The sequence below is a fragment of the Homo sapiens genome, chromosome 5 (genome assembly GCF_000001405.40).
Source record: "Homo sapiens chromosome 5, GRCh38.p14 Primary Assembly".
Taxonomy (NCBI): Eukaryota; Metazoa; Chordata; class Mammalia; order Primates; family Hominidae; genus Homo; species Homo sapiens.
The window spans coordinates 56455910-56483695 of record NC_000005.10 but is presented as its reverse complement, the minus strand read 5'-3'; the positions used below and the strand labels follow the sequence as shown (position 1 = coordinate 56483695).

General features: G+C 43.5%; 1 long non-coding RNA gene across 1 annotated transcript, besides 2 other annotated features; it reads left to right on the top strand.

Annotated features, from left to right (window-relative positions):
* Positions 1927-25901, top strand: LINC01948 (long intergenic non-protein coding RNA 1948). The gene is made up of 5 exons (NR_104664.1): positions 1927-2143; positions 15884-15984; positions 18629-18709; positions 19580-19687; positions 25753-25901. It is a non-coding gene; the product is annotated as a long intergenic non-protein coding RNA 1948 (long non-coding RNA).
* Positions 1999-2158: an enhancer, noted in NCBI's record as "active region_22566". NCBI's record gives its function as "activates an Ori minimal core promoter by ATAC-STARR-seq in GM12878 lymphoblastoid cells {active_cell/tissue: GM12878}" and the evidence as "EXISTENCE:reporter gene assay evidence [ECO:0000049][PMID:35858748]".
* Positions 3359-3528: an enhancer, noted in NCBI's record as "active region_22565". NCBI's record gives its function as "activates an Ori minimal core promoter by ATAC-STARR-seq in GM12878 lymphoblastoid cells {active_cell/tissue: GM12878}" and the evidence as "EXISTENCE:reporter gene assay evidence [ECO:0000049][PMID:35858748]".
* Positions 25902-27786: the final 1885 nt, after the last annotated feature.

Genomic DNA, 27786 nt, shown 5'->3' with positions numbered 1-27786 from the left:
ATAGTAGCCAATAGTTATTTTTCAACCCTTGCTTCCCTCTAGTATCCCCCAGTGTCTATTGTTGCCATCTTTATGTCTATGTGTACCTAATATGTAGCTCCCATATATAAGTGAGAACATGCACTGTTTGGTTTTTCTGCTCCTGCATTAATTTGCTTAGAATAGTGGCTTCCAGCTGCATCCATGTTGCTACAAAGGACATGATTTCCTTCTTTTTTATTGCTGCATAGTATTCCATGGTGTATATGTACCAGTCTTCCATTGACGGACACCTAGGCTGAGTCAATGTCTTTGCTATTGTGAATAATGCTGTGAAGCACATAAAAATGAATGTCTTTTTGGTAAAACGATTTCTTTTCATTTAGATATGTACCAGTAATGGGATTGCTGCTGGGTCGAATGGTAGTTTTGTTTTATTTGAGAAATCTCCAAACTACTTTCCCCAGTGGCTGAATTAATTTACATTCCCACCAGCAATGCCAGCAATGTATATGTGTTCCCTTTTCTCCACAGCCTTGCCAGCATCTGTTGTTTTTTTGACTTTTTAATAATAGTCATTCTGAGTGGTGTGAGATCTCATCGTGGTTTTGATTTGCATTTCTCTGATAATCAGCAATGCTGAGCATCTTTTCACATTTGTTGGCTGCTTGCATGTCTTCTTTTGAGAAGTGTCTGTTCATGTCTTTTGCCCACTTTTTAACAGGGTTGTTTGTGTTTGTGTTTTGCTTGCATAGCTGCTTTCCATGTTCTTTTCTATGTTATCTAGAACTATAATAAAAGTAACTGCCCAGCTCTTTGGGAGGCTGGGGCAGGCGAATCACTTGAGGTCAGGAGTTCAAGGGTAGCCTGGCCAATATGGTGAAACCCTGTCTCTATTAAAAATACAAAAATTAGCCGAGTGTGGTGGCACACACCTGGATTCCCAGCTACTCAGGAGGCTGAGGCAGGAGAATTACTTGAACCCCCAAGGCGGAGGTTGCAGTGAGCCCAGATCGCACCACTGTACTCCAGCCTGGGAGACAGAGTGAGACAGCGTCTCAAAAAAACAAAAAAAAAGGAACTAGGTCTAAGACAGGGTACCCAATCTATTTCTAAGAAGATGCTACTTCTCATTTTCTGGAAACACTGTAGCAAAGAGGAAGGGACAATAATGTCCCATAGTGGGTGGGCAGATATAAAAACCCCAAGATGTTCATTTCAGGCCCAAAGTGACTACTGCTTGCTACCCTCACCTTTCTCTGCTGGAACACTACCAGCCCCTGTGAGATGTGGGTGATCTCATGGGTGTTTGGAAGAATCCCAGTACCAGGCTAGGGGATCATCAAAGCTGACTGGATCAGTCCTGCTAGATCAGGAAGCCTTACTGAGTAAGGCTAATGCCAGGTCTCCAAACTGCCACTGAGCATCAGGGGTCCTTCCCACAATATCTTTGTTTCTCTAGGTCAAGAAATGATGCCGTCCCTAGAAACAGCGCAATGTTTATGTAAGAGTCAACTCAGAGACCTTGTGCCGGTACAAGAGGTACTATCTCATCCTGCTCCCCTGCAGGCACTAAATGAGACAAAATTCCTTCTGGAGTTCAAGTCCAGAAGGCTGACTATGCTGTTAATGGCAGTATACTGAGTTAAGAGAATTCGGGGAGACGGGAATATTGGGTCCACGATTCTGCCTGGAGGGAAGAATTGTGGTCTCCTCAGTCCTGTGGAGTAGGGGTCCGGGCTGATGATAGCGCCTCCTGGTGCAGAGTATACAAACAGCTGAAGATCTGCCTGGACCCCCTACCCCTCTCTTTTTTCCTTGTGGAAACTGTGTATAATTTGGAAAGAGCAAGGACATCCTGGCTCGCAGCTGGCCAGCTCCACCTGCGACCTGGACAGCCTCGCCCCTCCCTGCGGAGCCAGGCGAGTTCACAGGGCTGCCTCCGCTTCTTGCAGCATGTCTGCTCTCCTGGCCTGGCCTCTCCAGACCTTTCCCTCCACGGGCAGCGATTTCCAAGGCTCTCAAGACTCCAAACCACGTCGTTTTGGGAGTGAAAAAGTGAAAGCACACATCGTGTCATTAGAGCAGCAGGGACCAGCTGCTGGGTCAACACTTCCGAAAACAGCGCTTCCTGGGGAGCGACCGGAGCATCTCAGAATCTACGGTTTGACCTCCTGCCAATTCTCATGGTGTCTTTATACATTTTAACACAAAAATAAGATGTTTTCACTTGAGAGCGAGAGGGAAATGAACTGTTAAGGTGCTCTGTCGCCAGAGAAGTGAAGTTGGGGGGTAAATTTTAGGAACCCCCGACCCCCCTACCGAGGGAGGATGCGAAGTCGGCTCCTGAAACGCGAGCGAAACCCCCGCGCGCTTCCCGGGGTGACGCACATGTCTGTGTTTCTTTTTGCTTTTGACCAAAAGTCGTAGGGAGGGTCCTCCTCAGGGGACAGTCGCGGGCGCTGTGCCAGTCCTTCCTGTCCCCCCACCAAAGTCAACCCCAGCCCCAGGCCAAGGCCGCCCCGGCCGGAAGAGCCAGCTGGTGGGGGCCGTGGGGGGCGCGGCGGGCGCGCGGGGCTGGGGGCGGCGGGTCCGCCTACCCCGCCTTCCTGGCGTGGAGAGTTTCGGCCCCAGCCTCGCTGGCGTGGACTCTGCCTGAACCACGCCTGGGATGCTTTTGCCAAAGGAAACTTGGGGGGTGGGGGCGGGGCGGGCGACGATTCCCCCCCTCCCCACCCCGCCCCTGTCCTCCTCGGCCGGGAGCCGCGCTGGGCCGGGGTCAGCTGGCTGCCTTTGTGGCCGCTTCCCAGGAAGGAAGAAGCGTTGTCTGCAGATCAGTTGATCCGCGGGCTTTCCTGTGTCGGAATGCCGCCGTTTTCCGGGGACGGCTGCCACCCCCGTGATTCCCAGCCGGGGCTGCCGGCCGTGCGTAAGAGCCGGATAAATAGGCCATTGTGAGGCCGTTCAGATCTAGGTTTCTTATCACAGTATCCACCAGCGAGAAGCAGATTCGGCCCCTGATGGAGCTCATCCCAGCTTCTCTTTTCTTTCTCTGCACAGTTACAGCCATTTCTATTTTTTGCAGTTGTAAAGGGAATATTCAGAAAGCAATTTATTGTGTGCGACAGGGACTTAAGGGAGCGTGTCTGCAGACCGTGTTCCCACCGGGGTTGGGGTTCGCAACCTTGAGTTTAGCTCGATGGGCTTTGGTGTGTGAGGTTTCTACCCGCCCATCGCCCAAGGCAGGCACGTCCTTAAACACCAGCTGCAAGTATCAGGAGGGCAAGTCCGTAGGTCTCTAGATCCAGTGGGTTGGCTTTTTGGTGTTTGTTTTGTTTTGTGATAGCCTTGATCTGCTTTGTGGACACTGAAAATTTGAAGGTCGAGGGAACACGAGTTAAAACAGGTCAAATGAGGGAGGTTCTGAGGAAGGCTGGTGGTTTGGGAAGAGCTGATGCTGATGGTGTTGAGTGTCTGTTTTGTTTTTGTTTTTCTGCTGCAGCAGCCGCAGGGCTGTGGAGGGGTTGGGGTTTCCTGGTGTTTGACTTATTGGATAGTCATTGCTTGGCATGGCTGGGTTTTTGGGCCTGTGACCTGTGCTCAGAAGCCGACGTGTGCTTAGTTGGATGCTCTACTGACACCATGTTGACATGCTTAATAATTTTTGAAAAGGACCCTGCATTTTCAGTTTGAACTGCACCCGGCAAATTATGTAGCCAGGGCTGTTAGTAGACTCTCAAATTCATTTGAATAAGCTTGAATAACGGTTTGAATCAGTTCCCATTTGAGATAAGGGCCTGTGGTTAGTCGATAAGCTGCTGAAGGTGATTCTCTTAGTTTTCAGAGTATCTACTGTGGCTGTGCTGACGGATTAGAGCACGTTCCACAAACTAAACCAGGCTGCCTGGCATCGTGGGCATCTGCAGGGAGCGGCACCAGCCCCCTGCCAGAACAGAAGAGTGCAGCCAGGCAAGATTAGCTTCGTTCCGCCTGCTGAGACATCATCCTTTAGAAAGCATAGAATGTGCAGCCCTCAAAAACCTAGTGATTTCCTTAATAAGATGCTTATTTGTGCAGTTATTGCTTCTCTTTTCTTTTCCACTCTGAAATGCCTGGCTTCCAGGGTTGAAAGTGGATTCATCCTACCAAAAATATTCTATCGTTTTTGGGCACTGTGTTAATACTTCCAGCACCTGCTAAGGACTGAATGTTTGCATCCTCCCAAGATTCAGATATTGAAAATCTAACCTTCAATGTGATGGAATTTAGAGGGGGGTCTTTGGAGAGTAATTAGGTTTAGATGATGGCATGAGGGTGGGGCTCCGTGATGAGATTAGTCTCTATAAGAAGAGAAAGCAAAACTAGAGCCTTTTCTCCCTTCACCTGCATGAGGACGCAGCAAGAAGGTAGCTATCTGCAAGCCAGGACCAAGGCCCTCATCGGGAACAGAATCTGCTGGCACCTTGCTCCTGGACTTCCCAGCCTGCAGAACTGGGAGAAATAAATGTCTGTTGTTGAAGCCATCCAGCCTACAATATATATTCTGTTATAGCAGCCTGAGCTGACTAAGACAACCCCTAAACAACTCTTGAGAAATTACTCTAAATCAGGGACTTTGCATTTCTCAGAGACAGGGGAAGGGAAGTTGGCAATAGTTCATAATAAATAAGGAAAATGCTATCTTTTTAGAAATAGTTTGTATAAGATACAGTTGTTTTGGTTTAATGCAAAAAATATTCCCTTCAAATGAGTATTTGTTTACTTGCTTACTCCTTCACTCATTAATTTATGGCTTCACTTTTCATTTACTCAACAACATTTATATAGGACAGGTAATAGAGGAGACTTTGTGACATTACAGTAAAAGAGAGAATTCCCTGCCCTGGAGAGGCTTTGGAATAGTGGAGATATAAAGAAATAAAGAATACAATGGAATGTTACACGTGCTAAAATAGCTACCTATCAGGATATTTTAGGGCCACAAAAGGGTTATTTGAATCACTTCCATTTGCTCATCATTAATGAATTCCCTAGGTTATTTTTTATAAGCCTTATTATTATTATTATTAAGGTTTTTTTGAGACAGAGTTTCACTCTGTGGAGCTGGAGTGCAGTGGTGTGATCTCGGGGCACTGTGACCTCCACCTTCTGGGTTCAAGCAATTCTCGTACTCAGCCTCCCAAGTAGGTGGGACTACAGGTGTGCACCACCATGCCCAACTAGTTTGTGTATTTTTAGTAAAGATGGGGTTTTGCCATATTGGCCAGGCTGGTCTCAAACTCCTAGCCTCAAGTGATCTACCCGCCTCGGCCTCCTAAAGTGCTGGGATTACAGGCATGAGCCAACGTGCCTGGCTGGACTATTAATATTATTTATAATGTTATCTATTAACAGATAATATAATAATGTAGTGTTAATATTAATAATATTCATTAATTTTAATAGTTATTAATTAAAATATTTAATTTTAATATGAATTAAAGTGCTATTTATTAATAACTATTAATAATGTATATTATTGCTAATAGCATTCATACAGCAATTGATGTGTTCAGACACTGTGCTAAGCAGTGTACAGGCATTTTCTCAGTTTACACTCATGATTAATTAGGTCCACTTGGAAACTCTATTGTATACAAGAAACTGAAACTGGGACATTAAATAAATTGCTCAAGGCCACACAGTACCTAGTGTAGAGTCAGGATTTTACCCAGCTGGTCTCTTCCAAAGTTTGCCCTCTCCAGGCTATACTGTTTCCAGCAACACAGCTACAGCACCATGTGAAATCAAGGTTTGTGCAAAGCGTCAGAAAAATGCCATCTACTATTTCACATGATCATTTCCCTTTTCACAAAGTACACTAAGACTGATACCTCCAAAAGAGAGGGGTTTGTTCCCTCCTCACTAGAAGCTTCATGTTTTTGCATCAACAGGTTGCGGATGCCAGTACCACAGATGGTTCTCAGAGGATGCAAGTAAATTTCTAGAATGTTGGGTAGATGGCAGAACAGAGTTCCATGGCTTCTCAAAGGAGGAGATTTTTATGGGCATGCCAGTGCTTCCAGGTAACTGGTAAAATCTATTCCGTGTGGAAGATTCTGTATCTCCATGTCTACTTCTTAGTAGGCAGATTTAGTCTGCCTACTAAGTCCTGCCACATCACAAGGCAGGAAGCCAGCATTTTTTTTTTTTTTTTTGAGATGGAGTCTTTCTCTGTCACCCAGGCTGGATTGCAGTGGCAAGATCTCTGCTCACCGCAACCTCCGCCTCCCGGGTTCAAGAGATTCTCCTGCCTCAGCCTCCCGAGTAGCTGGGACTACAGGCGCGTGCAACCACTCCTGGCTAATTTTTTGTATTTTTAGTAGAGCTGGGGTTTCACCTTTTTAGCCAGGATGGTCTCTATCCCCTGACCTCGTGATCCGCCCGCCTATTCCCAGGAACCCCTCTAGGCTGGTTGGCACTTGTGGCCCCAAGTAATAAAGATCACTTGAGTTTGAGCTTTTGGAGAATTTCCCTGAGTCTTAACACACTTACACACAAAGTTGCAATAAGAAGGGGATGGCAGAGGGTGGGTATGGGGGCAGGACAAAGCTCTTCAAGTAGCCGGGGATAAGGTCACAGAATATCAGAGTGAGTGCCAGAAATAGAATTCAGGTCTTCTGATGTGTTCTGTAGCACGTTCCCTTCTGCAAGGAGCAACCTCCTTGGAACCTGAAACAGGCTTGGCTTAGAGCAGAAGCAAAGCAAAACTGGCATTTTTCTTAAGGGAGTTTTTTTTTCTCCTTTTTTCTGCTTTGGAATCTAAAGATAGATAGATTCCTTGGCTGGGTGCTGAATGCTTTCATTAGGGAGAGGCCCTATGTGGCTAAATTCAGTTCCTTCCACCTTGAGATAGTCCCTTTGCTCTGACCTTGACCTGAATGTTTAGCAAAGCTGTGAAATGGAAAGCTAGTCTGGAAAAGACCAAGCAAAGAGAGAACGGAAAGAAAAGACTCATTCAGGGTGACACTGTGGGGCAAAAGGTGTCCGATTACCAGGCTTTCTATTGCTGCTTCGGCCCCAGGACACGGAAGAGCGACCTAGGTTGGCCTTCTAAAAAATCATCTTATTATTTGAGTAGAAAACACAAACAGTCATACCACTGGAATCTGATAAGGGTTTTCATACTATATGGCTAGTGAATATTAACCCTAGTTGTAGATAAAAGATGACAGATTTAGAGAGCTCAGAAACAAGGTAACATGTAAATAAAACCTCTACTTGTCTAACTTTTTGGAAACAATGTGGCAGCTTTCTGCTATCTGGCCTGGAATCACTAGGTCACCAAGGAAACTGTTTAGATAGATGCCTTTGCTCCTTTATTCATTCATTGTCAGTCAGTGAAAAACTGTGATACTTACTCTGTGCTGTGGACAAATAAGATACAAGCTCATCTGTCCTCGGGGAGCTTATGATATTGAAGGAAGATCAAAAGGAAAAAGTACATGAACTTGAGACTCAGACATGGCAGGGGCGGTATGAGGGACTGATCGGGCTGGGACCATAGGCAGCTGTCTGCCTGGGTTGCTTTGCTTTGGGGGAAAAGAGCTAGTGAAGGGGAGGTTTGTGCTTAGCACTCAGATGGAGCTCAGGGTGAGGGAGGGACAAAGAGGTCAAACTGGTGCAGGCTGGCAGAATATGCCACCCCAAAATATGCCACTTTGACATAGGGATTACGTCAAGTGAAAGACACTTGCAAAACAGCAGAGGCAAGATGAGCATTCTAATCTTCCCCTTTTCTTCCTGAAAACAGGAGATAAAAGCTGCCATGAAAAAGATTCCTTCCCTGTGCCAGGAGAAAAGAAACATTCTTTGATGGGGAGTCATAGCCAAGAGAATTTTGTACAAACAAACCTTGTTAAGATAATTCATATCTTCCTTCAGCTTCTACACATAATTAAGTTACTTTTCCATGATTGCCTCCCTTTGTTTGACCTAATATATGTAGGTTTTGCTATTTCTTTGGGTCTTTATTTTCTTTTTCTTTTTCTTTTTTTATTATACTCTAAGTTTTAGGGTACATGTGCACAACGTGCAGGTTTGTTACATATGTATACATGTGACATGTTGGTGTGCTGCACCCAGTAACTCGTCATTTAACATTAGGTATATCTCCAAATGCTATCCCTCCCCACTTCCCCTACCCGACAACAGGCCCCAGTGTGTGATGTCCCTCTTCCTGTGTCCATGTGTTCACATGCAGTATTTGGTTTTTTGGTCCTTGCTATAGTTTGCTGAGAATGATGGTTTCCAGCTTCAAAGACTTGGAACCAACCCAAATGTCCAACAATGATAGACTGGATGAAGAAAATGTGGCACATATACCCCGTGGAATACTATGCAGCCATAAAAATCATGAGTTCATGTCCTTTGTAGGGACATGGATGAAGCTGGGTCTTTATTTTCTTATGAGGGCTCTTGTATCATGCAAAACTGAGGGTAAATTTGCATGCTTTTGTCCTGTTCGTCTGTCAATTTAATTATCAGGCCTAGCTTGGACCCTAAGTGGGTGGAGGTAAAGCTTTGCCTCACCTCTGTGGCAGCTGTTCTCAAGGCCCTCCCCAAGGGTTAGGGATGCGTCCTATGGAGAGAGGGCTCTCCGGCTTCCAGGAGTGTGGATGGGATTCCTCCGCATTTCTGCTTAGGTCATGGGAGACATTGCCTCAGTGAGAGCTGCAAGAGAGCTGCTCCTGCATCACTAGGGTCACAGCCTAGGAAGGCCCTCACCTCCCTGTTATCCCCTGGGTGATGGCCCTCATGGCATGGGCCTCAGCATTGTTTGGGGGACTATGTCCAGAAAAGCCCACCTTTTCTAGAAGAGTGAGCCCATGAGAGATACATCTACAACTCCGGGGGCTTAAAGTTGAGAGTGGTGAAAGAGGTGCGTTTGATGGGTGGGCAACTTTTGGCACCATTATGGGCTAGAAATCTACCACCATGAGACACCCGGACATTACACAGTTTACCTAATGAGCCCAGTGATGCACAAGAGTTTTGAAAGTTGCCAATAGAAAGATTTTAATTCGAGAAAATTATAATGTGTGATATCTAGATGAGTTGTCATTTTGTTTACCAGTGATTGCTCAATGATTGACTTCTCTGCCTTGACTAGATGCTAAATCGCTCCCGTAACTGAACTCAACACAGACATACTCCCCTCCCACCCCATCACCCCTGTGCTTGGGCCTCAATTAAGTTGTGTTTGTATAAAAATTTAAAAATTGTATCACAGTGTTCCATGGTCAAGCATATTTGACCATGGAACGCTATTATTATGAAGCATCTACTAACATCACACTGAACACTGATGTTCAGTAGACACCATTTGAAAGTGTTAGCCTAGTATTTTACGTTATACCTAAACTATGACCAGGGAAAGGACTGTGCACTGTTTTTATGTACCAGAACCTCCGCTGAATAGAATACCAAATAGGTACTTACAAGTAACTTATTGAGGGATTAACTCTGAGAGTAATTAACTAGTGCAACTTCAAACCCCTTTACTTGGACAATGTCCCATATTCTTTCAGAAAATTATCATTTTAGTAGATGAAATTTAAGAGATACTTTCATTACATAAGAACCTGTCCTATGGGAGTAAAGAAAATGGTACAATCAAGTGTCCTAGATTCAATTATTAGTTTTCTGCCACACTCTGAGTCTGTGAGTAGGAGGAAGGTGACAAGAGCATGAACATGTGCACACGCGCACACACACACACACACGCACACACCAGTGAGTGTGTTGTTCATTGTGATTCTCCATCTTCAAAACTTACCTTAATAACGGCTGCTCTTGCATTACTCATAATAGCCAAAAGGTAGAAGCAACCGAAGTGTCTATCACTGGGTAGATGAATAAACAAAATGTGATATATACATACAATAGAATATTACTCAGCCTTAAAAAGGAAGGAAATTCTGACACATTCTACAGCATGGATGGACCTCGAGGACATTATAGTAAGTAATAAGCCAATTATAAAAAGACAGCTACCATACAATCTTGCTTACATAAGGTACCTAGAGTAGTCAAATTCTTAAGAGACGGAAAGTAGAATTGTGGTTTCCAGGTGCTGGGGGAAGAAAGAATTGTTTAATGGATAAAGAGCTTCAGTTTTTCTAGATGAAAAAGTCTTAGAGATTGTTGCTCAGAAATGTGACTACACATAACGCTACTGAACTATACACTTAAAAATGGTTAAGATGGCAAATTACATTATGTAAGTTTTACCACAGTTAAAAAACAAAATAATAAATAACATTGCTCGATAATGATCAATATACTGAAAATCAAGCTTTAGGCAAAATAACATTATTGTCACTCTAAAGAAATGTTTATGATCTTTATGTGGGAGGTGTAAATCTAGATTTTATTCCTGTTCTTGACTGTTAACTAATTATTCTGGGTTTATGGAAAGAGTCCTGGAGATTGGTTGCACAACCATGCCATGTACTCTATACTACTGAATTGTACACTTACACCTGATTAAGACGGGAAATTTTATGTGTATTTTACCACAATTAAAAGGAAAAAAGAAGACCTGCAGGCTCAGAAGTTTTACAATTTCTAAAGAGTCAGAGAGAGAAAAAGACGCCTAAATATATTTCACTTAAAATTTCTTCAATATTTATTATTTGGAATAAGTAGTGTAGTAATATTTTTAAAATTGCTGTCCTAATACATATCATATTCTTTGAGTTTCTTCTTTTTCTTTTTCTTTTTTTTTTTGAGACAGAGTCTCACTCTGTTGCCCAGGCTGGAGTGCAATGGTGCAATCTCAGCTCACTAAAACCTCCACCTCCTGGGTTCAAGCAATACTCCTGCCTCAGCCTCCCAAGTAGCTGGGGTTACAGGAATGCGCCAAAATGCCCAGCTAATTTTTTTTTTTTTTTTTTTTTTGAGACGGAGTCTCGCTCTGTCGCCCAAGTTGGAATGCAGTGGCGCAATCTCGACTCACTGCAAACTCTGCCTCCCAGGTTCACGCCATTCTCGTGCCTCAGCCTCCCTAGTAGCTAGGACTACAGGTGCCCACCACCACACCTGGCTAATTTTGTTTTTGTATTTTTAGTAGAGACTGGGTTTCACCGTGTTAGCCAGGATGGTCTCAATCTCCTGACCTCATGATCCGCCTTCCTCGGCCTCCCAAAGTGCTGGGATTACAGACGTGAGCCACCACGCCTGGCCTAATTTTTGTATTTTTAGTAGAGATGGGGTTTCACCATGTTGGCCAGGCTGGTCTCGAACTCCTGACCTCAAGCGACCCGTCCCCCTCGGCCTCTCAAAGTGCTGGGATTACAGGCATGAGCCACCGCGCCCAGGCTCTTTGAGTTTCTTCTAAGCTCTGGTGATAGCAATGTGTACTCTACATTGTTTCTGCATGCACTTTAGGAAGCCAAGCATACTCCCCTGACCCTGGCCTATATTACATGATAAAGCATATGTGCAGCTTCCATATTTTTCTTGGAAGGTTAATAGTGCTTTGTTTTCCTCCACCACTGTGGTAGGGGCTGCTGGTGCTCACAATACCCAAGGTCCCCTATTCTTGGGATCCCAATAGATTACACCTCTTAATCCCTGTGCACCAGGGTGGGCTGTAAGACTAGTTTCCATCAGAGTGGATGTGCCTCACCTGAGAGCAGTGGTGCCTTTTCCACGTGTGCTCTTTGCCTTACACTGGCCAAATGGAGAAGATTTCAAAAACTCAGAAGAGGATAGAGCCATAAGAAGGAATGAGCCTGGATTCCTAAATGACTGCATGGAATAGAACTTTGCAGTAGCTCTGTAAGGGAATGTGACCAGAATGAAAGATAAACTTTGCTGTGTTAAGTCACTGGAATTTGGGACTTGTTAAGCAGTTAGTCCGCTCTAACACAACCACCAAAGGTATTACAGAGACAGGATGTGTATTGATGTACCTGTGAGCTAAGGAAAGGTCAGATAGGCAAGGAGCATGGAAATTACAAGTTTCATGATTCCCAGGTGTAAGCGTTTTATGTTGCTCATTAATCATGTGGCAAATATGTTTAAATAAACATAGGCAATTCCTGTTCAACAAATATCTCAAGGGTAAGGGGTTTTGTTGAGGCTTGGACCAGAATGTTAATACCTCCTTTGGGCCCAGCACAGCAGATACAGGAGAAATCAAAGTGAAAGACTTATCAGAGGAAGATAAAACTGAAGCTCAAGTGGGGAGACTCAGGAGCTCCCAGTACAAGAGTCTCTTTCAGAGTTCTAATACCCCAAGTCTTAGAGATTTGAGACTTTTCTTTAAAAGCAATGATCTATGCTGGCACCAAAGAAAATGTAGGGTGGCTCACGCCTGTAATCCCAGCACTTTGGGAGGCCGAGGTGGGCGGACCACAGGGTCAGGAGTTCAAGACCAGCCTGGCCAATATGATGAAACCCCGGCTGTACTAAAAATACAAAAATTAGCCAGGCGTGGTGGTGTGTGCCTGTAGTCCCAGCTACTTGGAAGGCTGAGGCAGAAGAATTGCTTGAACCTGGGAGGTGGAGGTTGCAGTGAGCTGAGATCATGCCATTGCACTCCTGCCTGAGCAACAGAGGGGGACTCCATCTCAAAAATAAAATAAAATAAAATGTAAGACACCCTGACTCTTAGAAGTTCTTCAAATATTATCCATCGAGTCCCGACCCTCATCCCATCCCACCCTTGGTTCTCAGTTGTTCTTACCAACAATTTCTGTGTCAGAGACTGGAACTACGGACTAGCTCCCTCAACTCAGCAGTGCACAACAAATTTGGCCCTGTTGACTTTGAGGGAAGCCCTTGTTCTTGGCCCCAGTATGGACCTTTGGCCAATGGAACTATCAACCAGTTTGTTCTTTCTTGTATAGAATGACCTCTCAGCTTCACACCTATGGTTCTTTTTCAGCTCTGAAACTCTTGTGATCCCTTGTTTGGAGGTTAATAGAGTGCATTTTTATGACCCTTCAATGAGTTTGTATTCACTAGAAATGAAATCCTTATCATGTTCTCCAAGCCTCTGTGTGACCTGGCACTGCACCCCTATGACATCCTGGGCTGCTTCTCACCTTTCCTTATCACAGCTACCCTGGGTGTCAGTTCCTGAAAGATGCTACCTCTTTCTGAGGGCCTTTCAATGGCTGGTTCCTATGCTTGGAAATGTTCTTCTCTCAGCTCTCACCATGCTTAGCTCTTTGTCCTCCTGAAATCTCATCACAAAAGCCACCTCCACAGGGAAGCTTTCTCTGACACAGCCCCCTAACACAGGTCTCTGTATTGGTCACCTTGTGTGTCCTCACAGCCCACTCAGCCCACCTCTTGGCCAGCCATCGTAGCAACAAACTTTGTCTGGGTGACAGTACCTGGCAACCCCTGGCCTCAGCTGTACCTGGCTTCTTTCAGTTTCTGGCCCAGGATTTCTCTGGTATTGCGATGGGAGCTTTGCACGCACAGCCTAGGAACGGGAGGAAATGAACAACTCGTGACCATTGGGAGGTGGTGGACCCGTGTTTATCTCTTCCTTCTATGGGTTGGACAGTTCTGAGGTGCATTCTCCTCTACTCTTTGGTGTCCCGGCAGAATTGTTCCCATGGCACACAGCAGTGACCAACTTGAGAATGCACCCTAGTTTCAGCTTTTCCTCTTTCTTTTTTTTTTCCCCCAGTCCCCACTGCTCTTCCCTGTGATCACTTCCCAAAAGAAACCACCTATGTGCAATTCTTTGCCAAGCTTTCCACAGAGAACTTATGCTAAGAGAGTCCTCCTTCCTTATTTAATATATCAGGATCTTTGTCTTTCTCATAGCACTTACTACAGCTTACATTAATTTTATTTTTTTCTATGGTTATGTATTTTTTTCTGTCTAGATTAGAATGTAAATGCCACAGGGCAGGAACCTAGTCAGTTTTCAACTGTATCTTCAGCTCCTCATGTGTAGTTCCTGGCATAGACACACCATCACTAAACATACACAAAACGAATGAATAATCTCAAAAATTCTTGTGTCTTATTTTTTTAATTACCCTTGTATTCTAGGTATTGAGAGGCAATATAACATACTTGTTAAAAGCCTACATTTTGGAGTTAGACATTCCTGACTCTGCCACCTAAGTAGCTCAGTAGCCTTGAGCCAGTTACCAACCATGCTGAACACCAATTTCCCCAACTGTAAAGTGGGATTAATAATAGTACCTAGTCCATGGGATTTTTATGATACTGAAATAAAATATATAGAAAGCATTTAGAACAGTATCTGGCACACAGAAACCACCTAATATACTTTGCTTTTAAAATACTCATTTAGCTAAAATTTGAAATTGCACAAATGTAATCTCTACTTTAGACCTTCCAAATTTGTCAGTCCTTTACCTACATTTCCCAAGTGTGCTTGAGGTTAATAATATCACCCTAATGACTTGTAGCTGGGAATCAAATGATTTGGATGTGCAGTGCTCTTTAAACATTCCACGTGTCTTTAGTTTCCCCTATGAAGTGCTTTGGGAACATACTTAATAAAAAACAGACAAAGACCAATGCTGATGTGTAACATGTTAATTTCCTCCATTTCTTGTCTTTTGAGGGTTCTTATTCCATGTGATTACATTTTTACGTTGTAAGCTAGAACCACAACCAGATAATAATCATGATCATACACTCGTGGCGTTTTCTGAAGCTATAATAATAATTTAAGCAATGAACAAATATTACATTAAGTAATGCTGCTGGAGTGAGAGTTGGGAATGGGTGCTGTTAACCAACATAATGTTGTATCTCAGACTTTGTACATTCCTGCCCTCTCCCCACCAGCTCAATCAGGAGTAAGGTCTTTATTTTCTAGACAGAAGGAACTCATGCCCCATCAATATTGGCTTTCTATAGATCCCTCTGATGAGAGAATTTGTGCCTACTTAGAGGCTGAAGAATGTTAGTACCTTGGTTCCAGTGAGTTTCTCTTCTATAGAGTCACCTCAAAGAAAGAGCAAAACCCAGAGAGCTTACATCTGCCTTGGTTCACAAGCCTACTCTCAGGTGACTTTTAGAAATGCTTATTAAATCCATTCAACCCTTGAGAGAGAGAAAACATAGAAGTTGGGTTCTGGAGTGCTTAAAGGTTCAACACAAGACAAAGAGACTGTGTGTTAGCATGTGGGAGGCAGAGGTGTTGACTCCTGGATGTTATTCTTGGGCTGCGGAAGGGAGACAGTGCTGGAATTCTTCTTCTGTCATTGTTAATTGAGCCTCTCCGCTTGCAGAGAGAATCTTACCCCACTCCTCTCCTGACTTCCCTCTTCACTTTCCCCTCTGACTAACCCTTACCTGCATAGAGCCAAGACAGCCGGCCAGGACCTGTGGCCAGGGTTGGGTAGGGAAAGTGGCTATGTGGCATGACTCTAGGAAATAGGGTGAGGAAGAAGGAGGGATTGTAAGTTTTAGGAATTTCCCTCAATGTCGTGTTGCAGTGCACTGTGACAAATTAAGAACACTGAACGAGGGAAGCCGTGAAGTGTTGTGCAGAGTTGAAGACAGGAGAGCTGACTTTTAGCTGTCACCCTGCCACCAAATAGCTCCATGAGCTTCTCCTCTTTGAGCCTTTGTTTCCTGGAGATTGGACAAGCAGTTTTCTAAGGTTTTTCTCTTGACATTCAGTTTAGGCAACTGACAATGCTACGTAAGCCGATTTTTAGCTCCTCACTTCATATCGCCTGGTTTTACCCACATTCCGCTATCAAATGGTTCCTGGCCCCATAAAAATAATCAAGAAAGCTCATGTTGGTGGCTTTTGCCATAGGAGTCTGATTTTTGATGCCATTATTTTTCATGCATATAAAACTAATATTTTAAGTCTTCTGTGCTTTGTTCTGTTCTTTTGGTCTGGAAGAACGTGCTTCAGAGTTGCACTTAGCCTAGAACATGGCCTGACCTCTATGGTATGAATAAATGAGCTCCATGAAGACAATAAGATCTCCTGAAATTATACAGGTATGTGCATACATATACATATATGTGTGTCTATGTATGTGTAGATATATGTGTGTAATATTATATTTAAATAATCTACTTTTTCAAAAGTTCCCTTAAGCTACTCCATGTGATTTTATGATAATTTTGTTTGGTTATATTCTATTTATCTTCATTGCTTTCTGACTTCATTGCCATTCTGTCCATATTGCTGCTCAAAGCAGAATTTTAAGAACACCTCGAGGTGTTTTTAAATTAAGCCAGTAAACAGCTTTAGCCAACACCTCCATGGCACAGTGACAAAAGCCAACACAAACAGGGAGCGGGAGGTTTGCTGACAGCTCTGTGCACTGAGACCTCAGGACTGGTTTGGTGAGGCAGGCTCAAGCAGTGACTCGTGGGGGAGCCAAAGAAGACTCAATCATGTTGTCTCTTGTATCAGCTCCCTCCACAAGGAACGGAAATCTACAAGAGGCTGAGTCCTCCTTTAATCAAAGCAAGAGAAGAAGCACTCAGGACGGGGTGGGATGCATGTCTTCAGACACTGACTCAGCCCCTCCTGTATAAGGTCTCACTGCTGCAGCAGGGCTGGGTCCACATATCTCCTTCTGTGTTTGGTGTCCCAGAGCCGTGCTTAGAACTCCAACATTACCCTGTGTGTTCATGGTGATGACGAGATTCCCAAGCACAGTGACTTAAATAAGAGAACTGTACTTCCTTCTATATAAGCTCAGGTGTACTGTCCAGGGGTGGCTGGTACCCTATGTTGTTGGGGATCCTGCTCATGTAAAGTACCTAGCACCAACAAATGCTCTTCAGTTATCATAAGCCTTAAAAACCTAGGAGAGTTTGCGGGAAAACAAGGAAAGAGAGAAGATAAAAGCATGCGTTGCGGAGGGCATTGCCAATGTGCTGTAACACATATGCTAAGGCTCCATAGAGCCTGTGAGCCTGGGCAAGTGACTTAACCTCTCTGTGCCACATCTATAAAATGGTGATAACAAGACCTATCTTGTAGGCTTGTTGTGAGCATCTCACACGTTAACACATGCAAAGTGCTTACAGCAGTGCCCAGACCACATTCAGAACCTAATAGCAGGCCCTGTTGGTGCCCTACCAGTACCTGTGGCTACTTCCCATTTTGTGCACTCCAGATGGCCTTGTACTGTAAGAATTTGTGAGTCTGCCTCTAGGCTCCCCCTGGCCTCCTGAGAGTGTGCTCTGCATATGCAGGCTTGGCCATAAGGGCTGAAAAGGCAATCGACAGCAAGCAGCCCTCAACCAGGATGGGATTTGGTGTGTAAATACCTCGGCTTTCTCATCCCTTGGGTGAGACAACTTGGCAGCATGTTCTGAATCGCCACACAGAGGTCTCCAGGGTGACTGAGCCCCAAGTGTCCGCATTCATAACCTGTCCCTGTCATATCCTGTCTGCTTCCCTGTCGTCCTTGGTTCATTTCTGCACTCTCCTGGTCTTACTGGGATTACTCCCCAAATTAACTTCCTGTATTCAGGACCAACTTCTGGGAAACCCAAACTAAGACACTCTTCTCCTTACTACACACTCCTTTCTGAACATATTGGCCTTAGTGTGCGTTCTGAATGATCCTGCCAGAACCTCACTCTCCCCTTTTCATGCACCTCCTCCTCCTGATATTCCTCTTCTCACTTTTGCAATCACGTATGCACCAGGATGAATCAGATGCAGACTTCTGTGCCCTTCATAAACCAATCTTCCAAGCATACATGCACACTGATACATACATGTACTGATACATTCCAAGCATACATGCACACTGATACATACAGAGAAACCCATGGAATCCAGGCCCAAAGGAAATGGAATGTGTAGCAAAGAATATACATTGTCTCTGGGCTTGCTCTCTCGCCTAACTTCCTTCAGGCTTGTTCTGATTTCCCCTGGGGCCTGCACATATGGTGTATTGCTTAGATTTGTGCCTGGGTTCGGACTGCACATTAAATCAGAGACGTGGGGTAGAATCAGGTCCACAGCTCTATATCCTGTTGTGATGGATAAGCGTTCTCTTTCCATTTCCTCCCCTGGGCAGGGAGATGATGGAAGTGTTTTGCATGAAGACAGGAAATATCTTCAGTACGGCTTTGTGAGCTAGATGGAATTATCCTAAAAGAGCAGGTCCACTGGGTGAGGAGAGATGTGTGGGCTGAGTTTTCAACTGAATGATTAAACAATAGTGCTTGCTGTGGCCACACCCTGCTAGTTTACACAATGGAAAAAAACAACTTGACAAAATAAAATCCATGTCGTCGTCTTTAAAATGTGCTATCATTTCCTTGTTATAGTTGTGCAAGATTCAGTACCGAGAAGCAGATAGTTCTTCCTTTGCCAATATGGGAAACATACTGCAAACATATTGGGCTTCCAATATGTTTGAATTTCAATCATGACCCTTTAGTCAGTTTAGTTAAGTAGATGCAGTCCCCGCAAGGGCAAGGTTCAGATTTCATTCACCATGGTCTATGAACTGTCAGTTCCTGCATGAAGCACAGACTTCACTGCTAGCTCTTCAGGACACACATCACTTTTGTAAATATGAGCACTATGATCAGTCAGTGACCACTCACATCACTTCTTTCAAAGTCTGCCAGTGATGGTCACCACACCCTGTTATTGGTTCACACACAGACAGCAAAGTATGTCGCTGTGCTTCCTTGTCTTCCTGTGATGACCCATGTGCCATCTTACACAAATGGACAATCAATGGAGGTAAGTGGCCAGCAAAAATGAAAGTGAAGCAAAGAAATGAAAAATGAGAACGCAGGGAGTGAGATTCAAATCCAACATAAATGGAGGTGAGAAGATATAGCTGAGATTGGGATGTCAACACTCAGGCATCCTAGACTTTACATAGGCAGCCAGAGGAACTTGGCGAAGGTGACCTTATTGACATAAATGAGGAAAGTGAGGACAAGGAGCAAGATATCCCAGAGGAAGTGACGCCAGCAAAAAAAAAAAAAAAAAATTAAAATTTACATTTTAAAAATCACATTAAAGGAACTCTCAGAGTTAATTCATGAATTAAAAGTGAAAAAGATTAAATGTTGGGTGCTCACTCAAATTTAGAAAGGAGAGTAACAATTTACCAGGGCATAGAAAATATATTTTTCTATACTGTAAGTTGTATGACAAAAAGATAACACTGTGTATTATTTATCTTTTTTATTTTCTGTATGTTATGATGTTTTAATATCTTAAAAACCTGTCTGACTGCCCCTCCCAGGGCTGGCCAATCCTTAGACACAGCAAAGGGCTCAGCTGGGAGTGTGCCTTTGATACGCAAACTGCCCAACCTAGAGCCATCTCTCCTCTATGTGGCCCCTGCACCTCAGGAGGCAACATTTTTCCTCTGCCTTAGTCAACCAAAGGCCAGGAACCAGGCAACTAAAGACCACCCGTATAGTTAAGTGCCTGCTGAAATGATTCAAACTAGCCAGTCCTAAACTGCCCTTGCCCTGCTGGGAAACCCCAATAAAGGCTGTAGCCTCGGCTTTCCCTGTACCCCTGCTTTCTGCCTCCTGACCACCCTGAGGCTACCCCACGTGGCCCTGCCTGGTGTGGTTTGTCTCCTGTCTCTAGGACCTGTGAGTGTTGTTTTCCTGAGCTTCTCCTCTGTCTCCTCTTGTGGCTGCACTTGACTGAGCATTTCATGAAAGAATACAGAATGCACTTCTCAGACTACTCTTGGTAAGTTTTTTACAAAGAAATAACACAATTCTCAACATTTCTAATCTGTAAAATTACAGTATGCTAAATAAATATTTGTTTTACCATTTTTTTCATTTCTTTATACATTTATAACCGATAATGAGAGAGTTTTTAATGTTTTGACAAATATTTCTAAAGGTTATGGGACCATTATGATTATTTCTTTGTGAGGTTTCTGCATGGTCTTTTGGTGTTTTTTGTTGTTTGTTGTTGTTGTTGTTGTTGATGTTGTTGTTTTGACAAGGTCTCACTCTGTCGCTCAGGCTGGAGTACAGTGGTGCCATCACAGCTCACTGCAGCCTTGACATGTTGGGCTCAAGCAATCCTCCCACCTCGGCCTCCTGAGTAGCTAGGACTACAGGTGAATGCCACCATGTCCAGCTAATTTTTGTATTTTTTGTAGAGACGGGCTTTCACCATCTTGCTCAGGCTGGTCTCGAACTCCTGGACTCAAGTGATGAGTTGCCCTCCTGGGCCTCTCCAAATGCTGGGATTACAGGTGTGAGCCACCATACCCAGCCTGCAAGGTCATTCTTACAATCCTGCACTAAGGTGCAAAGCAAAGACTGTCTGTACTTAAGCTTTTATCTTATTTATTAGGATAGTGAAACTTGTGGGCTCTGGAGCCTGAGTGCCTGAGTTCAGATCCTGACTCCAGTACTAAACTGCTTGATCTCTGCTCTAAACCAACCCAACTGAGGCTCAGTTTTCTTATCCGAAAAAAGGAAATAACAATATCACATAGAGTTCTTGAGGTGATGGATTAGAAGGCCTCTAAAAATCTGCCTGACATTCAAGAAACATTTGATAAATAAGCTCCATGAAAGTGGAGACCCCATCCCATATCTTCATTATAATATCCCCAGCATTTAGAACAAAGACTGGCACAGGTAATCATTGCACAGTACATATGTGGCACATAAGAGATTAAATAGTCATATTTAATATTCAACAAATATTAGTGATGTGACTCTCTTCCCCTTTTTTCACTTTCTGAGTGCTCTATACCTTCAGAGAGTTTGAGGAAATCATGGGGCTCAGTTTTACTGAGAGCCCAGTATGTCACCAATGGCCCCTATACTGGTTCCTCTACAGTCATTTCTGCCTTATTTCTCCCGGCCCATCCTGCCCATTTGATTTAGGTGGCTGGGTACCTCAGCAAGGTTAACATTGTTCATATAAATAAGGAACTCATACAAATCTATGGGGAAAAAAAATGAGACCCCAAAAATGGGGGAAAAAAGAATAATTAATTAGTAATTAAACTTAAATATTTGGAGTCATCCTCACCAGCAACCAAGGAAATGTAAATCAGAACAAAGGAGATGCTCTTTTTGCAATCACATTTGCACAGACTTCTGGAATGACAGAAACAGAGACTAGTGAGAGTGAGGTGAGAAGACCCTCCCCCGACTGCTGATGCTCATGAGAATCGGCAGAATCTCTCTATAAAGCAGTTTGGCCCCAAAAATCATGGGCCTTTAGACGCTTCATTCCCTTTGACCCAGAAATTTTACTTCAGGAAACTGATCCTGAGGATTCAATGTGGATGAAGCTTTATGCATAAAGATTTTCTTTTCTTTTTTTTCTTTTTTGAGACAGTTTCACTCTTATTGCCCAGGCTGGAGTACATGGCTCCATCTTGGCTCACCGCAACCTCTGCCTCCTGGGTTCAAGCAATTCTCCTGCCTCAGCCTCCTGAGTAGCTGGGATTATAGGTGTGTGCCACCACACCTGGCTAATTTTTGTATTTTTAGTAGAGACACGGTTTCACCATGTTGTCCAGGCTGGTCTTGAACCCCTGACCTCAGGTGATCCACCTGCCTCAGCCTCCCAAAGTGCTGGGATTACAGGTGTGAGCCACCGCGCCCAACCATGCATAAAGATTTTCATCACAATGTTATCTGTAAGAGTAAAGATAGGAAACTACCTATATGTCTGGTAATAGGAATTATTTACATGGGAAATGTTATATGCACTTTTTATTAGGCAATGTAAGTCTATAAAGAGACAAATGTTTATAATAGAACATAATGTATAATAAATATTTTTAATCATATGTAAAATCCAAACGCCTGATGCCTTAATGCCGTTCACTCCAAAATGTGAATAACTACCATTTGTGGTGGGTCCACCGTATTCCAGGGACATTGTGTATTTTATTCCCAATTCCCACAACAATTTTGCCTGGTAGATATTATTATACCCATTTTATGGATGAGAAAATGAGGTTCAGAGGGCCAGGTAAATTTCCTGAAGCATCCCTTTAGTTACATAGCTCTGACAGTTAAACCCACACTTTCCCGCCAAATTATGTCCTTATTTATCTTTGTTTGGTTGAGTCTTTTTCTTTTATAAGTTGTGAAACAATGAGTGATTTTGGTTGAGTGTTTTTCTTTTTAAGTTATGAAACAATGAGTGATTTTCTAAATTTTTGTAAGTTTTTGTCTTTTGAAAAGATGTAGTAGCATAGAATAATAACCATAAACATGGCTAACAAGAAGGCATTGCAACATTACTAAATCATTTAATCACTTTGAGCTTCACATGCTTTCAAATAAATAGTACTTCTCTCTACCCATTGACAAGGCTATATGTCAAAATTATAATGAGATAGCGAATAACATGTATCAAAACTCTTTCAAGTTAAAAAAAGGAAAGGTGCCCAACTTTTAACTGTTCTTTCCTAAGTTGAAAAATTTACTTACTTCAGTTAATTATAAATGTTCCTATTACTATAATTATTATAAAGGTTAAAACCCTTCAATAAACTGAGTACTTTCTCAGTCACAGATGTTAATATCTCTCTCAGTTAAGAAACAGGGAGCAAAAGTTATTGATTTACATGGTTGAGATGGAAAACTTAGCACACATCCAGCATTCTTTGGGAAAGGAAGTGGAAGACTCCCATATCAGATGTTTTGGAAGGAAGATAACTGTGGAATGGGCTGGAAGTTGTAAATGGGAGCGTTCCAAAAACAATTTCATTGGTTCCTGTTGAATATTCATAAAGTTGAAACTTTCTGTCTCTAATTGTCCACACTCTGAGTCTAATATGTTGCAGTCAGTGGTTGTCTAGTTGCTTTCCCGAGAGTTCAGTGGTGATGTTTTTGCTGCACTTGGCATTGTGTGTGTGTGTGTGTAGAGCATCGCCAGATCCTGGGCATTTATGGAGCATTGCCTTCAGGGGCTGTGTACTCTGGACTTTGTCCAGGATGCCAAGCTCGTCCTAGATGACTCCCCCTGACAAAAGAACCAGGCTCGGCTCATCCACAAAGATTGTTCAGATCATTATGCACCTCACCAGTTTATTTGACAGGTTTTGACCTGAGGACAATCTGGAAGCCCCCCAAACATTTAGGAGACGTGAATATCTTGTTCTTTCTGCACCAAGGGGAAGGTTTGTAAGCAGCTTCTAAAGAAGCAAGGAGAAATGCATGGCTGGGGCCACTGTATCTTGAAGTTCCCACAAAGTTCAGTAAGTTATTTGCTCCTTCCTGCAACCTGTGCAGCCACAATTTTAATTAACTGCAGAGCTGCCTGCCACCCAGTAGTTTAAAGGAAGGCAACTTCAGCCATCCCAGGGAACTTTCTAACAAGAAGGGTTTTTTTTTCTTCTTTAGGAGAGCGAGAGAATATGGCAACAAGCCAAAATATCAAATATATAGTTGGCTCTATTTACATGACAGACTTTGATTGTGCCTTATTTAACCAATAGTCGTTATCTCCCCAACATTTGGTTTGCAGAACTCTGAAGCAAGGGTGCTTAAGGAGGGCCTCCTGGATACTCATTTCAGGGCCCTTTCTCCCTCAGCTGTAAAAATATTCATTGTGATGTGAGTTCCAGCAACATCTTTCAGCCCAGGAGGAAGTTTAGTTTGGCTGATTTAAACCTAAAATGAGAAAAAAAAAACTCACATTTTTTCTTGTTCTTCTCCTGGATTAGGCTGTAGTTTTGAATTCGTTATTATAATTACCTGTACTTATTTATACGTGGAAAATGTAATCTTGCGCATTGACCGCAACCTTTGGCAGACTCTAATAAGATCCCAGATGATCTAGAAGATTATTGTAAATTACTTCCATGCCTGCATTATTTATTTTCTAATTGGATTCTTTCCCGATTTATAACATTTGGTTTTATATGCAAGAATATGGCCAAGTGACAGGTTTAAAACCTTGCTTAAAAAGATGATTTTTGGAGAAGCTTAGAAAAACAATATCCAACAACAAAAGGAATGATCATGTTCAAGAATGGCAAAGGTTTGCAAACTTTTTCTTATAGGGCCAAATAGAGGAATTTTAGGCTTAAGGGCCATTTGGCCTCTATCACAACTACTCAATGTTGCTATTGTAATGGAAAAGCAGCCAAAGACAGTACTTGAAAGAATGGATGAGGTCGTGTTCCAATAAAACTTTACTTAACAAAAACAGACAGCTGTTCATAGGCCTATAATTTGCCAACTCCTGAATTATGGTATAATCCATTTGAGGCATGCACCTGGTATGCTGCTTTTAGCTGAAAGTAAAGGAAAAGGTAACCTAAAATTGGAAGTTATCTCAGATATGAAGAAGTACCATGATAGGGAAGTTCCAGGACGGGTTTATTAAAGCAGTTAAATGATGTCTACAGGCCCAAGAGAACCCCCACCCCCACTCCAAGGGCACATTTAATTTCATAAACTTGGACAGATAATCTTTCCCCAGAGTCTTGCTGGCATTCACCACGGTAGACGTAAGCATGGCAAGGGTTTTTTCCTTTGCATATGTGGACTGTCATATGTTGGCTGGAATTCATGAGGTTCTGCAGAGGTCTGTGGTGGGCAGGGCTCACATGCTACTTCTTTCTCCACTGAGATATAAAGTGTGTTCTGAATTCTGAGCCATAGCTAACCCCATCCCTGGCACATAGTAAGTTCTTCATAAACATTTGCTGGATAAATGAAAGAAATAATGGAAGGACTGACTGGTGGAAAGATTGAAGTACAGAAAGAGGGAAGGAAGGAAGGGAAGGAGGGAAGGAGGGAAAGAAGAAGGAAGGAAGGAAGGAGGGAGGGAGGGAGGGAGGGAAAGAAGGAAGGAAGGAAGGAAAGAAGGCAGGTAGGCAGGCAGGCTAAGTGTAGATCAGACAACAGTTCCTGATGTGGGGACGTGCTTAAGAGAAACAGGTAGGATTGGAGTTCTAATACCTAACCTGTGTCTTTTATATAATATCTATACATCTAATATGTATTAGATGTTTTAAAAAGGTAAATTAAATATTCAGTGTGGTTCCTACCCTGGAGGATGTTTTCAGTAGTTTCTCCCAGGTGCAAAGGGAGGAGGCCTGTCTGAAACTCTGAGAAAAGGGCTTTGTGAATTGCAAAGCAGAAAACAAATGGTGATTAACTAAGGCTCCACAAGCAAGGGCAGGTCTCCGGAGAGCAGTCTCAAGAGATAACTCTTCTGCCTTCTTTTTGTCGTTTGAATCCTCAAAATTGTCCCTCGCTTAGACCAAATCAACCTCAAACAGTCTATGATTAAAATTTCCACTCTGAGAGTCTGAGCAACGTAGGAATTGTAGGAACTGGACCATCTGGAGATAATTTATAAATAACACTCGCCTTTCAAATGGGCTCTGTCTTCCCAAAGAGTCCTCTGTCCTGTTAGTAGGAGCTCTGCCAAGGCACAAACCACTAAATTGGGCCAGGGACACTGAAATTGCTGGCGGGAGCTTCTTATCTCTGATTCTTCTAAGAATTTGGGACGCTTCACTGAAACATTTGTTTTTCCTCATGTAAAATGTAAGCTGAAAGTTATGGGCTGTCTTTAGGTTGGGAAAAGCTTTTAGGATTTTACTGCATGGGACTCACTCAGCTTTTGCTTTGTCTACTGCTAAAATAATTGAAACGTGAATCAAATACTAAATATAACCCAAAATATCCTGGATACATAGTAAGCTTTGAGAGCATTAAAACATGACTAAGCCCTTTGCTCCTTTTTCAGTGAACCTGTTGACATGAAAGGGAGCCACTAATACCATCTTTTTCTCCCCTCTCCTCCAGGTCAGTCCTAAGCAGCACAACCTTAGCCACTGTGGAGCTAGTGCCAGCTGTGTGAATCTGTACAGTGGTGCAGTGTTAAGGGCAAAGAGCACTTTGGAGCCAAGGCAGACAAAACTGCGCAGAGCTCCCAGGCCTGGGTGATGATCCCTCTTCCCAGACATCTGAGGAGTTGCCATATTGATGTTCTCTCATTGTTTCGGCTGAGCTGGAATGATCGAAATAATTCTGGGACTATGACAAGTCTCACCAGACCTCGTTATGGATCAGGGAGAGGTGAACTTTAAAAATAATCAAGTTCAAAGGAGAGCCCTGTCACCTGTGATCAGTTTCGTTAGCAGAATCCCACCAGCCTTGCTCCCCATATCCAAAATGCACTCACCTCCCACAAGGCCCTTCCCTGCTCTTGGTTGGAGCCTCTGAGTTCAGACACATGCCTGAAGTTAGTTTCTCTGGACTGGGGAGCTTTCCCATTGCTTCCCAAGGACCTCCTAATGGCAAGTGATAAAACTGATTGGCAGGTGCGTGAGAGAGTCATAGTCAACTCATGGCATGAGAAACAGAAAGTTGATAAAGCAGAGCTTTTCTAGAGATTGAGCTGAAAACTTTTTATTTGGGAAATATACAACGTAGCAGAGAGCTGTGCTATTTAAAACGTAATGGGAGGTCGAGGTAGGCATATCACTTGAAGTCAAGAGTTCGAGACCAGCCTGGCCAACATGGTGAAACCACATCTCTACTAAAAAATATATACAACAATTAGCTGGGCATGGTGGCAGGCACCTGTAGTCCCAGCTACTCAGGAGGCTGAGGCAGGAGAATCGCTTGAACCCAGGAGGTGGAGGCTGCAGTGAGCCGAGATCGTGCCACTGTACTCCAGCCTAGGTGACAGAGTGAGACTCCGTCTCAAACAAAACAAAACAAAACAAAACAAAACAAAAATGTAATGGGCAGGCTATCTGCCTGGAGACAAAGTACATGCCCATTTCTGAGAACATTATTTGTCCTGGAAAGGTAGTTTCATAGTGGGATTCTTCTTCCCTGCTTCTTCCTGGGTCCCACAAGGTTGATCTTCCTCCATACCTTTCTTTTGTTCCCTAACATTTTACAGCATTGATTTTCTAACAAAAGGAAGGAAAGTTCCTAGGGAGGTATATCAACATTTCTAAAAGGAAATGTATGTATACTTTGAAAATACATATTTCACATTATAATAGAATTTCATAATTTAGAAATGAAAAGTACATCACTCTAATTATATTTCTCTTGATGAAAGTAAAATTTGACAAGTTATCTCTGCTGACAAGAATCTGCATCAGTGAATCTGCAAAGAGGGCACCAGTTAGGGGTGGGGCCTCATCTTCCTAGATGGCTCAGGTCTAGAGCCTGTTGGCTGGTCAGACATAACATTTTTATGTTTATCAAATAGGAAAATGATTTTTTAAGGACCATCTGGGCACAGGTAACAGGAGATGCTTGTATCTCTCCTGTAGGGTCAGTCTTCAGGAGACGGAGCTGAGACAGGAGTCCTACTGGCAAGGTAGGAGCAGCACACTAGGGCTTTATGGTCCAGGATGCTTAAGAGAAAGAGAAATGTACGTGAAGACAGCCTGGCATCCACTACACAGGCCCTGCCTTCACCGTGTGGATGTAGTTGCCCTGAGAGTGGACAGAGAAAGAAGAATGAGAGCAGTGAGTCAGCGAAGGGCCTCAGAATGGGGATCTCAGGACCTTCAGAGCTGGCAGCCATGTGGCTGCCTCAGGACACAGTCATGCAGCACGTGGTGTCTGAGGGGTAGACAGTGATTACCTCCTAATCTCCCACAGATGGTGCCCTGGGCAGGGGTGGGGATGAGGACCCACCCAAGCAGGCACCTAGAAGAATTTGATCCTGGAACTCTTAGCAGGGAGGCAGTTCTGTGTAGGCAACTTCATGGCATCACCTCTGCAGGGCCTTGTGACCCTACCCAGGGTTATTAGTCCCACATTCTTCAAGAGCAATGGCTGGAGAATGGCAAGAGTTGAATGGGAGTGGGG